Below are 12399 nucleotides of genomic sequence, written 5' to 3'. Positions count from 1 at the left end.
GTAGGTGGACTTAAAGGTCACAAGTTCTCACATGAGAAGAATCCATCAATTTAATTCTAGAGTGAAGTAAGGATGCAATAATCTCAATTATTCCTGAAGAACTAGAAGTAATTAACAAAACTAATTATATTAGTCTGGCCTCAGGTTAACAGCTGGCAAAGAGGGACACTTGGATCTCTACAAGACAAGTAATTATAAATGTTTGCTTGAATTCATTGCAAATGGGTGTATAAAAATAAAATTTAACTTAATATGCACAAAGTTCCGAGTAAACATTTCAATGAGTAATATGTAAAATTTTAGCCTCAGAGTATCAGGTACATTATGGATTGATAGCAAAATTATACACTTGCACAGAGTAAAAGGTTATGCTAACTTTCCAAAATAATTTTCTTCAAGTACAAATTGTTATCAGATGTGAAGTGACAGCTTAGGGCAGAATTAGATGCATCAATTTTCTGCATAATTTATCTTGGTCCCCAGAGTCCCTAACAAGAGGAACACAGATGCTGGTGACATGTATTGTGCAAGGTAAGATCAACTGTTACTATCAAATTTCCTCTTTTGACTCACATCTTGAATCACCAGACAGAAATAACTTACACCAATAGTTGAAACACTTCTGTTTAAGGACATTTTTATTAACCTTGTGCTCTCCCTGTTCTTGGATAAAACTAAGCATCAGAAAGGGAATATCTTTTCATAAAGAAAAAAAGTAGACTTTCCTTAAGTGGTATTTCTCACTCTATCCTTCACACTTATACTTTAATTGTGATTAATTACCCTTGACCTTTCATTGTGTTACAGGATCCTTAGGGTGTTGCTTCACCAGCCAGAAACCTCTGTGGCCAGCAGAGCCTTTGCCCAAGTTTCTGCTCTGGCCCACTGGGCTCATTCCACACACTCGGCCTCACAGCCTGCACTCAGCTCCCACTGCTGGCCTGGATCCCATGCCTGACAAGGGCAAGCCAGGTACAGAGTGGCAAAGGGTGTGTGAATAAGTGTGGGGTCCAAGCACTGCACACAGCCAGGCATGCCAGCCGCAGCAGGGCAGGCAGGTCCAGGCATGGGCATGGGCGCTGGCTCCCTGCAAGGCTGTGGCTGACCAGGCATACTATAAGCAGCTTCCAAAGCTGATGGTGGGGATCACAATGTGGCACCCAGAAGCTTGGAGACACCAGGAACTGAAAAGTCCTAAAGAAGGTGTCACAGCCCTGGTTTGGGGAGCTCATAGGTCTGGGCTCCCTGAAGGGCCACAGCTCTTCTCTCATTCTCTCTTCTCTTTTTCTTGTCACCCACAACCTGGCAGACAAGGGGCATGTTTTAGCCCTGTTTGTGTTATAGCCCTTTTAGCCCTGCCATTCTGCAGGTCCCAAGTGCTTGTCCTGAATCCAGGAAGAATGAGGTACACAGACAAGTGGAGGGTGAGCGAGAAGAGGAGCTTTATTGAGCAATAGAACAGCTCAGAGGAGACGCTCAGTGGGCAGCTCCTCTCCATAGCCAGGGTGTCCCAATGAGTATTCAGCTCTCAGCAGAGAGGGTAGCACCTCTCTGCTAGGTAGATCATCCAAATGAGTGTCTAACTCTCAGCAGAGATGGTAGTTCCTCTCTGAAGCTGGTCGGCCATTGTCTCCTCAGCTCTCAGCAGAGGGGATAGCTCCTCTCTGTTGGACAGGTCATCCCAGTGAGGGTAGTTCCTCTCTGCAGCTGGTTGTCCCATCATCTCCTCGAGTCTGGCTGAGTCTGGGACTTTTATGGGCCTCAGAGGGGAAGAAGAGTGCACCAACTGGTCCATGGGCAGCCATGGGTAGGCCCAGAAAAGGCACCACAAGTTTCCCCTCTGGTCCATGGGACCAGAAGCACAGCCCCCAGACTTCAGGCTTTCCCCAGCTTGAAGGTGGGGCTTCACCAGGGACCCACCCCATTGCACCCAGGGTGCTGCCATCTGTGATGCCCAGGCTGTTTGTGCCAAGGGGCACCTGAAGGCCAGCGCTGAGCTGCCCTCAACCCCTCCTTAGGCTCCCCCCCATGCTCCTTGGTACCCAAAGTCTGGAGGGGGCCAAGATGGCAGGGGGCTGGCATATCAGCACTGCCCTGAGGATGTGCACATCTGGCCAGGTTGCAACAGCACCCAGGCTTGGCCTCAACTTTGCTCTGTGATCAGAGTGGGCACTGACAGTGGAGAGAGGCCAGGCAGCAGGAGCAGACATCTCCAAACCCACAGGGGCAAGAAGGGACCTTCCTGGGCCCCCAAGAGTGCAGAGATGCCTGGGTCCTCAGTTGCAACTTGGGCAGCTGCAGCCATGCCCAGGAGGGCAGGGCTCCTGCCTGCTCCCAGCTCCCACTGGCTCTGCAGAGCATGGCACCCTCTCAGGCCCAGCTCTACCTCAGGGCCCTGCTCTGCCTGCCCTTTTGTGAACAACTGCACTGCTCCCCCGCTGGTGGGTGACTTGGCTCAGCTCCATTGCTGCGGCTCCCAGGGCAGTGGGTGAGGTGCAAGTGTCTTGGTGGCCCCAGCCAACCCCATACAAATGAACCTGATGCTTCCAGGGGCAGCCCCACGAGTCCTGGCTGCACCTTTGGCCAGATGCTCGCAGGCCTCCAGGATGTGGTGGGGAGTGAGGTTGAGGCCATGGTGGAGGTTCCAGACCTGGGAATGGGTCCTGTCCAGCCATGAGAGGGTGGGGGTGGCACAGTCAGCTGCCTCAGGGATGCAGGGCACAGGGAACATCCCACCACCTAATAACACCATCCTTGCTCCTGCAGTCACTTCTGCCATCATCTCTCGCACCTCTCTGCTCCAGTCAGCATCATGGTAGTAGCTGCCCTGGACGGCCCATTGCTGTCATCAATTGTATCTTTTTGAAAAATCAATTGCCCCAGAAACAGCCACCTATTTCCATCATGCTTGTGACTATTATTGCCCCTAGACTAACCATATCCTTGATGCATTGCCCTAGCTAGTGCATACCCTTCTGTGGTACACCATTCTAATTCACCAGAAGTAAATGTTTTAACCATTGGCATACCACCATGTGTCATGTGCCCTCAGGGTTCCATCTACCATCAGTGATGGAGTTTTTATTGCTTGCTGGGTCACAAGTGATCAGTTCCAAAGTATCATGTTAGCATCTGCTTTCTGGTAGCAACCCAGGCACCAACTGTTGCAGTTCAAGTCCCATATGAAGGAGACTCGGAGATGGAGATTTGCATTCAGGAATTACTCTTAATATTATCACTAGCGCAGGGAGCAAGTAGCTGTGATGTGGTCATAACAAAGGCCTCAGTCAATTCCACAAGAAGCTCTGATGCTAGGATGGGCCCTGCAGAGTATACCCAAATTAAGACAAGGAATTCAAGCTTTTCTGCTTTTGCATTGACCAGTCATTGGTTGTGGGTGTGGATTCAGACAAGTCAACACTCTTCAGTTGAGGGCAATAATCAGGTGAATTCACCTGCAAGCTGTTTGCTACTAGTATTTCTAACAGGATGCTTAGTGCTTCAGCACTGAAGATGAAGGATCGTTGGCACACTCAGTATTTACTACAATATATATTCAGAATTGTGTTATTTTCCTGACAAGTTTTGCGTGTAAAAGTTGTTGTATCTATATCCCTACACCAGCATTCTTGGTTAGTATTGTCTCATTATATCTTTATTCTGTCCATATACAAATTTTTCATTCTCTTGGCTTTTATTTGCATCTCTTTTAAATAGCATACCTTAAAAGTGATCTATGTCATCCTCAAAAACCACAAATTTTATTATCTTTTCATGTCCGTATCCTAGGACTCACTCACCTTTCATACTGGTGCTATGTGAATATTTTATAGATATTAAGGCTGATTTGTTATGGAGACTCTCTCTTTTTTCTTTTCTCTTAGGTGTGTACCTACATATGTATGTATGCATTTTTAGATAGCCAATTTTGTCAAGATATTTGTTTAAACTTACTGACATAAGTTCATAAGTTACCTGGAGGTATTTTCCTCTTTGTATTTAAATAATTCACTCAAAAGGTTTTGCTTATGACTTTTATGTTTTATGTGGTAAATCTTCTGTGGTCTTTAATTCCTAAAAATATTTAAATTATGTGCTCATATTTTAATGACGATTTCATTAAAAATTAAATTTAAGTTTCAAATTTCCTATCCTTCAAATCATCAAAAATATGCCTCCATTTCATCTGGAAAGTGCTTTAGTTAAGAAGTCTAATGCTCTGTAGTAGTTCTGTTCTTTCTTATTGAATTATCTTTACACATTTTCCATTGTCTTCTGTATTCACTAAGTTTTAATAATAAGTTTTATTTTTCTTAATACTCTTTGGGACTTGTAAACAGAAAACATACCTTAGATGAGGGTTAAATTTTAACTGAGTTTGAGCAAAGGAAAACAATACAAACCAGAGCAAATCAAAGCAAACAAAACATAAACAATTCTTAAATGGGCAGTCCTCTGAATCAAAGCAAGTTCAGAGAACTCCAACCAATAACACGATCTGACAGCATTTATAGGAAATGAAAGTGTGGTGTAAATACAACTTAATTAGTTACAGCTTAATTGGGTACAAAGCCTCCTGCAATTAAGTAGAGCTCAGCTACTGTAGTTTAACTTTATATTGGTTTGGCCTTTTAGGCTTAGTGCAAAAGCCTAGTCCAAATCAACTGTATCCCATAAATTTTATTTAATAGCACTTGATAATTTTTTTCAATCAGACATTGTTTATTTTTTAATGTCTATACATTTATTTCTGAATTATATTTTATAAACTATATCTCCCATGTTTCTTCAAATATTTCTAACTCTTCATTCTTTGTTTTTATTTCTCCAGGATTTCTGTTATTTGAATTTTGGAATTTCTATCTTCCATATGTTTTAAACTCTTCTTTCATAAATATATATATATATATATATATATATATATATATATATATATATATATTTCTATCTTTACTTCTGTGGCTATTTCTCAGCCTGGTTTTTTAAATTGAAAAATAGTCTTTTTGCTTTATACATTCTACCATTTGTTTAGGCTCTGGTATCACTTACTATATCATTTTCATATTAATACTTGCCTTTTAATTATAAATTCTTATTCTCTCATATTGCTAATATATCCTATTGTTTCTGTTAGTACGTTTTTTGTTTATTTAAAAACTTGTTTTCTATCTGCATTCATTTTACAAGTTATTGGTTTTCTTTCCATGTAGTTTTACTTCCCAATTTTCATTGTTTTGGATCACGAACTAATATTACTATCTTAATCAGAAAGCTACTCAGTATAATTAAGTGTGTAGATAAAGAGGTGAAGGACCTACAGATGCAGAAAACTCAAGTATAAGGGAATGATGGAGAGCCTGATGCACCAGTAAACTATACCTGTCACTTCTCACATTGTCAATAAATTCACTAAGTCTGAGCTTCAACTCAAACCATGAAGAAGTTGCATTGGGAGGGTGCTGTCACCCTATAGTATAATCCACTCAACACCTGGAGAAAAATACTGTGAATTAGCATGAAAACTACAGATATATACTTATTCTATAAACTTAAAACTGGAAAGAAGATGGCCACAGATGCAGGATATTTAGCATAGTCTCTTTTGGTTACCAGGGGCCCTAAGAGAAGAAACCTGGTTTCCAGTGATGCAAATGTGCAAAATAGTGTCTCACCAGATCTAGAAAGATCAATTATGGTTTTTGTATCGCCTTTTTATATTTAGCATTTAGATATCCATTCAGGAAGGACTCACATAAATAATGCAGAAGATATGCTGATAATAATAAATGCTGGGCTCTCTGGTTCTTGAGTAAAATTCAGCATCAACAAGAAAACATCCTTATGTGAGAAAATTATTGGAGTCTATATTCAGATGTCCCTGAAAAACATGCTTGCACAATGCTATGGCCATTGAATGGTCATTGTCCCTCAGCAGCAGTTACTGGAAATTTTAGGTGTTTCAGATATTCTTAAAGTAATAACGTATTTTTAATTGATCTTTAAGAGTTTATATTTAAAATGGCAAGTTGCAGTCAGAATGACTATTATTAAAATGTAAAAAAATAACAGATGCTGGGAAGGTTACAGGAGAAAAAGGAACACTTATCCACTGCTGGTGGGAATGTAAATTAGTTCAGCCCCTGTGCAAAGTGGTTTGGAGCTTTCTCAAAGAACTTAAAACAACCCAGCAATCCTATTACTGAATATATACCCAAAGGAAAATAAGTCATTCTACGTTAAAGACACATGCACACGGAGGTTCATTACAGGACTATTCACAATAGCAAAGACATGAAATCAACCTAAATGTTCATCAATGGTGTACTGGATAAAGAAAATAAAGAAAGAGGTTATGTCCTTTGTAAGAACATAAATGGAGCTGGAGGCCACTATCCTTAGCAAACTAACACAGGAACAGAAAACCAAATACCACATGCATATTCTCACTTGTAAGTGGGAGCTAAATGACGAGAACACGTAGAGGGAAACAACACAGGCTGAGGTCTATTGGAGGCTGGAGCGTGGAAGGAGCACAAAGGTCAGGAAAAATAACTAATGGGTACTAGGCTTAATACCTGGGTGATGAAATAATCTGTACAACACACCCCCACAACACAAGTATACCTAGGTAACAAACCTGGACATGTACTCTTGAACTTAAAATAAAAGTTAAAAACAAGGGAATTTTAAATGGGGGAAAATAAGACAGTGTTGTACATATACACCATGAAACACTGTGCAGCCATAGAAAAGAATAAAATCATGTCCTTTGTAGAAACATGGATGCAGCTGGAGGCCATTATCCTAAGTAAATTAATGCAAGAGCAGAAAACCAAATAGCACATGTTCTCACTTGTAAGTGGGAGCTATATATTGAGTACACATGGACACAAAGAAGGAAACAATAGACACTGGGACCTACATGAGGGTGAAGAGTGGGAGGAGGGTGAGAATTGGAAAACTACCAGTGGAGTACTATGCTCATTACCTGGGTGATGAAATAATCTGTACCCCAAATCCCCAGGACATGCAATTTACCTAGGCAACAAACTATGCTCATTACCTGGGTGATGAAATAATCTGTACACCAAATCCCCGGGACATGCAATTTACCCATGTAACAAACTATGTTCACTACCTGGGTGATGAAATAATCTGTACACCAAATCCTAGGACATGCCATTTACCCATGTAACAAACATGCACATGTACCCCCGAACCTAAAATGAAAGTTGGAAAGAAAAAAAAATGATTTGCTCTATTCTTGCAAGTTTCTGTAAGTTAAAAATTATCATAAAATAAAAAGATTAAGAAGTATAAAATTAAAATGGCAAGTTGAATGTCATTACAGTCGATCTTAAAATGCAAAGCTTACTATTTATTCTTTTTATTTAATTTTTATTTTTATTTAAATGGCCTGGTACTGTTATTAATTTACTTCCTTAAAAACATTTTAAAATCTTTTTTAAAAGCTACTCTTAATTAATTATAAGACATTATATTTCTCATGTGGACTAATAATCGCTTGCTGAATGAAATAGAAGTATTTATTTTTATTCAACATCAAAATGTAAAGTTTGTAATTACAAAAAAACCCCAGCTTAAACAGAAAACCTTTCTAGAATAGTAGATATTTGTGGTTTGCTTGTTAGAGAATTTTTTAAGACAAATATATCAAAATTTTACACTTAAAGATCTTAAAATTATTGCCTTGCAAAATCTTCTATTTATTCTTTTTCTTTAATTTTTATTTTTATTTCAATAGTTTTGGGGATACAGGTGGTTTTCAGTTACATGGATAAGTTCCTTAGTGGTGACTTTTGAGATTTTGGTGCACCTGTCACCGGAACAGTGTACACTGTACACAAAAGATAGTCTTTTATCCTTCAACCTCTTCTTCCCTAGTCCCCAAAATCCATTATATCATTTTATAGCTTTGCATCCTTGTAGTTTAGCTCCCACTTATAAGTGAGAAAAATACTATTTACTTAAAAATAAAATTTCGTAAGTGATCTGTTTTGAAAATATTCTAAATAACTTTTAGTTAGAAAGAACACATGGCTTTTACATTTCTTTTAAACATTGATTTTTTTGTATAAGAAGGATTATTTATCTTTAATTATGAAAAAATGAGATATTTTCAAAATAAGGAATGCAAGTCTTCAATGAACAAATTAAATAACTTTATATGCTGAAGATTGAGACCAGATGCCTTTTATGACCTTAAATTACATGATTATGATCCTGTGTTTCCATATTTTGTGGGTAACAGACCCAATAATTTCCTGAATTTAATTTATATGTTATCCTATTAACATGGATAAAATCGCATTTTCAATTAGGTATTGCTCACTATATAATTCAGACTGTTTATACTGCTGTTTGATAAGGTATTGAAATGTGACTCAAAACATAAAAGGAAAAGACAATCCCAAATAAACAGAAAATGCCTTGTTTTTTCCTGATTTAGGATTTAATTATATACCCTCTATTTTATCACTGTCTTTCAAAAACCAAAAGCTGTATGTTATTGCGTACCCTACTCTAAAAGCTCATGGTGTGATTGTTGCTTTGTGTCCTTAATTTGCTTTTTCTTTTTCTTCATTGTTTTTCTAATTCAGTGTTTTGACTTTTCAAGTTCATAAATTGTTTTAGCCCTCCTACTGTGTAGCACTACGTGCCTTGAAGAAACTGAAAGTGTTTTGCATAGCATTGTTCTAAGGAATCACACTATAATGGCAACAAAAATTCAATAGCCAAATAAATGTAGATAGTATTATTTTATTTCTGAATGGATTTCAGAGACATTTTACAGGTTAAAATTTACTTCCAATATAAATGTCAACTAGAAATGTTATTGGAACAGATGATATGACAGAAGCAATATTTTTTTAAGTTATTTAAAAAATAAATCAGCCCCGATATGTTTATTTTTCATACTCTAAAAAACCTTCCATTATCTTTGTTATTGTTAGTTAAGATCAATAAAGCTGACAAAGATATTATATCTGTGAATAAGTCTTTTTTCTTGAAGGCTGATGCTATCGTTAAAGCAAACTTCACTTTTGTTTAAATTATCCAAATGTAACATTAGTATTTTCTTTCAGAAACACTTGTTAAAAAAAAAAGGAATAAACTGATTTTTATGGCTTTCCAGTTCACAAAGAACTCACACATACAATGCCTTTCACGCAACATTGAGCTTACTACTCGAAACAATGTGTCAACTCATAAAATATGCTACAAAATTTTATGCAGGAATTCAGTGTTCCCTTGAAGCATCCATTAGAGTTGTCGAATAGCAGTATAATAAATAAATAAATAAAAATCCTTTAGCCTATTTTCTTTAGCAACAAGCTAAATGTATACGTTAAAATAATAGTAGGCTATTAGAAGAGCAGTCTTGCTTTTTAACCCTGACACAAGATAAATCTCAGCAATTGAATAAATATTTACAGTTGTGAACAGATAGATTTATCATTCTTTGACCTTGTTTAAATAATTATTTAAACTTACTATTACCAACAAAACACAATAAGGCATTTGACACAGAATTGTCCTTACTAACTGAAGTGCATTATTGATTTCCTGAAGCTTTATTTTTAATTGTTTTTTAGAACACTGACAAATTTAGTAATGGGTAGGTATAAAGAAGTTAAAATAACAGTTAAATTTAAAAAGCCCATGTCTCTCCTCACTTGAGCAAGTGAAGAGAGACATATACTGAAAATGGGGGACAGGATCTTCCAAGGGAAATCCTTCCCAGCAAGTCACAAAGTCCAGGAAAGCTAACATTCAGAGTAAATAAGAGAATTCTTCAGGGGTAGAGGAGAGGGGGTGCAACAATAGTAGTATCTGGAAAATACCAGAAAATACCGAAGTTCTTTATTTGACACAAGGGTTTTCATTCAGAATTGCGGATTCCTTTATAAAGCTCTTGACTGAACTGAAGCTGACTGTATTAGTCTGTTCTCACGCTGCTAATAAAGACATACCTGAGGCTACATTATTTATAAAGGAAAGAGGTTTAATTGACTCACAGTTCCACATGGCTGAAGAGGCCTCACAGTCATGGCTGAAGGTGAATGAGGAGCAAAGTCATATCTTTTATGGCAGCAGGTAAGAGAGCGTGGGCAGGGGAACTCTCCTTTATAAAACCATCAGATCTCATGAGACTTACTATCATGAGAATAGCAAAGGCAAGACCCGCCGCCATTATTCAATTACCTCCATCCCAGTCTTTCACATGACACATAGGAATTATGGGAGCTAAAATTCAAGATGAGATTTGGGTGGAGACACAGCCAAACCAAATCACTGACCTGGGATTTTATCTTAGGTCTTAAAGGTGTCTATATCTTGGGGATGTTTATTTCCTAAAGATGTTTATCTCTAGAGGTCACTTATTAACAGCTATGAACAGTCTAAGGTTCATATAAAATCAGGCTGAGGACTATGTTAAGAGGTCACTCAACCACATCATGACTCCTCAGTCTATGAATATATGTAACATAGACTGCTTTAAGTTTGAAAAGACAAACTGGGAATTGGAAAGACTTCAGCTTCATATAGAGGCTAAACCAATACTAGTTCTGCCAGCTAGCAGAGTGGACACTGATAAGCTCAAGTTATAAAAGAGGTCAGTCCCTCCTGTCTGCCACAAATGAGATTCTCAGATGACCATGGCTTTTTCAGGATATGGTAAATGTATAATACATAGAGCATATTAAGTACAAAATTTTTTAAATCCTCAAATTTGACCCTTGTGACAGACAGCTCCCAGGTAGCTTAAGGTAAGTTCAGACAGGAGTCGTATGGCCCAAGCATAGCAGTTATCAAGTCAATTAAACAACACAAGGTGACCCACAGAACCAAACTGAAAGCATTAATTTGAATATCATAGGAACAGGTTAAGTTTGAGTAATCTAGACCATAAATGAAGTTTTCAGAAACTAGTTCAGGTTTTCTAAGGACAGTGTGGTCATGAATGTTCAACCAAAAGAGGACATGAATTACAGGAAATATTAGCAATAGGTAATAACCAAAACAGTGTTGTCATACATATGTATTTAGAGAGTTTTATAGATTTTGTTTTGGGGATCACTGGTCCTTCCCTCAGTGAGTGTCACTTGGCAATATACATTCCCACTGGAGAAGCCGTAAGCCAAGTAGAAATCCAGCTCTTCTAGACTAGGTCTCTCTACTAAGCTTCCTTACATTGTAAATTCATGGTATATCAGGGCCCAAATCCAATCCCTACTAAAGTTTATGAATGGCTGTTTTGTTCATTATGTTGTTGGACCATCAAAGATGTTACTTAGTTCTATATCAGTATGTTCACCATACTATATTATATTAAACACATCTGAAAATAAATGAGGGTCTATAAAGAGATTTTTTAATAAAAATTATCAGCAAGAAAATTTGTTTTATTATGTCAATGAACATATAAGATGTTTTATTCAAACAACTTTTCGAAGTTAAAACTTTCTAAAAATAACATATACAACACTGAGTAAATTAAAATATTTTGAAAGTATTCATATGAATTATTTGAATGCTACAATAATACAATTCAATACATTAAAAAATAATATTGGCATGTTTAATTCAGTTTCTTAGATTTCCTCTCTGATATTATACCACTAGTATGTTTCTAAAAATTTTATTTTTGTATAGATGTGTAATTTTAATTTTTTCATAACATTTGGCATCATAGTATTTAAAGCTGTATTTTATAATTAGCAAATTTACAATGTTTATATTTTTAATTGACTGTTCTTGTATGCCATAACATTCTTAAGAAAATATGGTAACTATAAATGTGGAAATATAAGCTTAGAGAAAATTCTGCTATATAGAGGATATTTGCAATTCTATTTCTGTAGTTAAATATATAAACACTTAAGCCCCAGTACTTTCATAGATTTTTGCCAGGATTCAAAAACTTTCTTAAAAATGTTTTTGCAACTAAAACTTGTCAAACAAATTGTGTATATTTACAACTATTTTGAAGGATTCTGGATTTAGATACTGCAAACTCCTGTGATCTCCTTCTAATGCAATACAGGGTATATAGGTGTACCCAAATGAAAATACATGGTTAATCAAAGGATTAATTCCACTGGTTAAGATGTTCCAAAGTAGCAATTTCAGAATTAACTCATGGACATTTGCACCTTCATTTTGTTTGCTTTTGCTTTTTTGTTACTTCCTACTTGCTTTAGTAGGAATCAGTACCACAAAGTGTATAAGCTCTGTTTACCATAATTTTTTATTTTATTTATAGCTTCAAGATATGAACTCCTTTGTGCTGAATTCCTTGAATGCTCTCATTAAAGATTTTCAAATAATTTTGAACAAAAGTCACCTAAAATTTAAGAATATGTTTATGTGTAT

General features: G+C 37.0%; 1 long non-coding RNA gene across 1 annotated transcript in view, besides 1 other annotated feature; it reads right to left on the bottom strand.

Annotated features, from left to right (window-relative positions):
* Nucleotides 1–12399, bottom strand: part of LOC105373153 (uncharacterized) — a 350749-nt gene that overhangs the window by 105835 nt on the left and 232515 nt on the right. The gene's annotated exons all lie outside the window — the stretch shown is intronic.
* Nucleotides 1805–2304: an enhancer, noted in NCBI's record as "H3K4me1 hESC enhancer chrX:33987093-33987592 (GRCh37/hg19 assembly coordinates)". NCBI's record gives its function as "activates a minimal SCP1, AML or CMV promoter by ChIP-STARR-seq in naive H9 embryonic stem cells {active_cell/tissue: H9 hESC(naive)}" and the evidence as "EXISTENCE:reporter gene assay evidence [ECO:0000049][PMID:30033119]".

The sequence above is a fragment of the Homo sapiens genome, chromosome X (genome assembly GCF_000001405.40).
Source record: "Homo sapiens chromosome X, GRCh38.p14 Primary Assembly".
In the NCBI taxonomy this organism is placed as follows: domain Eukaryota; kingdom Metazoa; phylum Chordata; class Mammalia; order Primates; family Hominidae; genus Homo; species Homo sapiens.
This window is presented reverse-complemented; position numbering and strand designations above follow the sequence as displayed.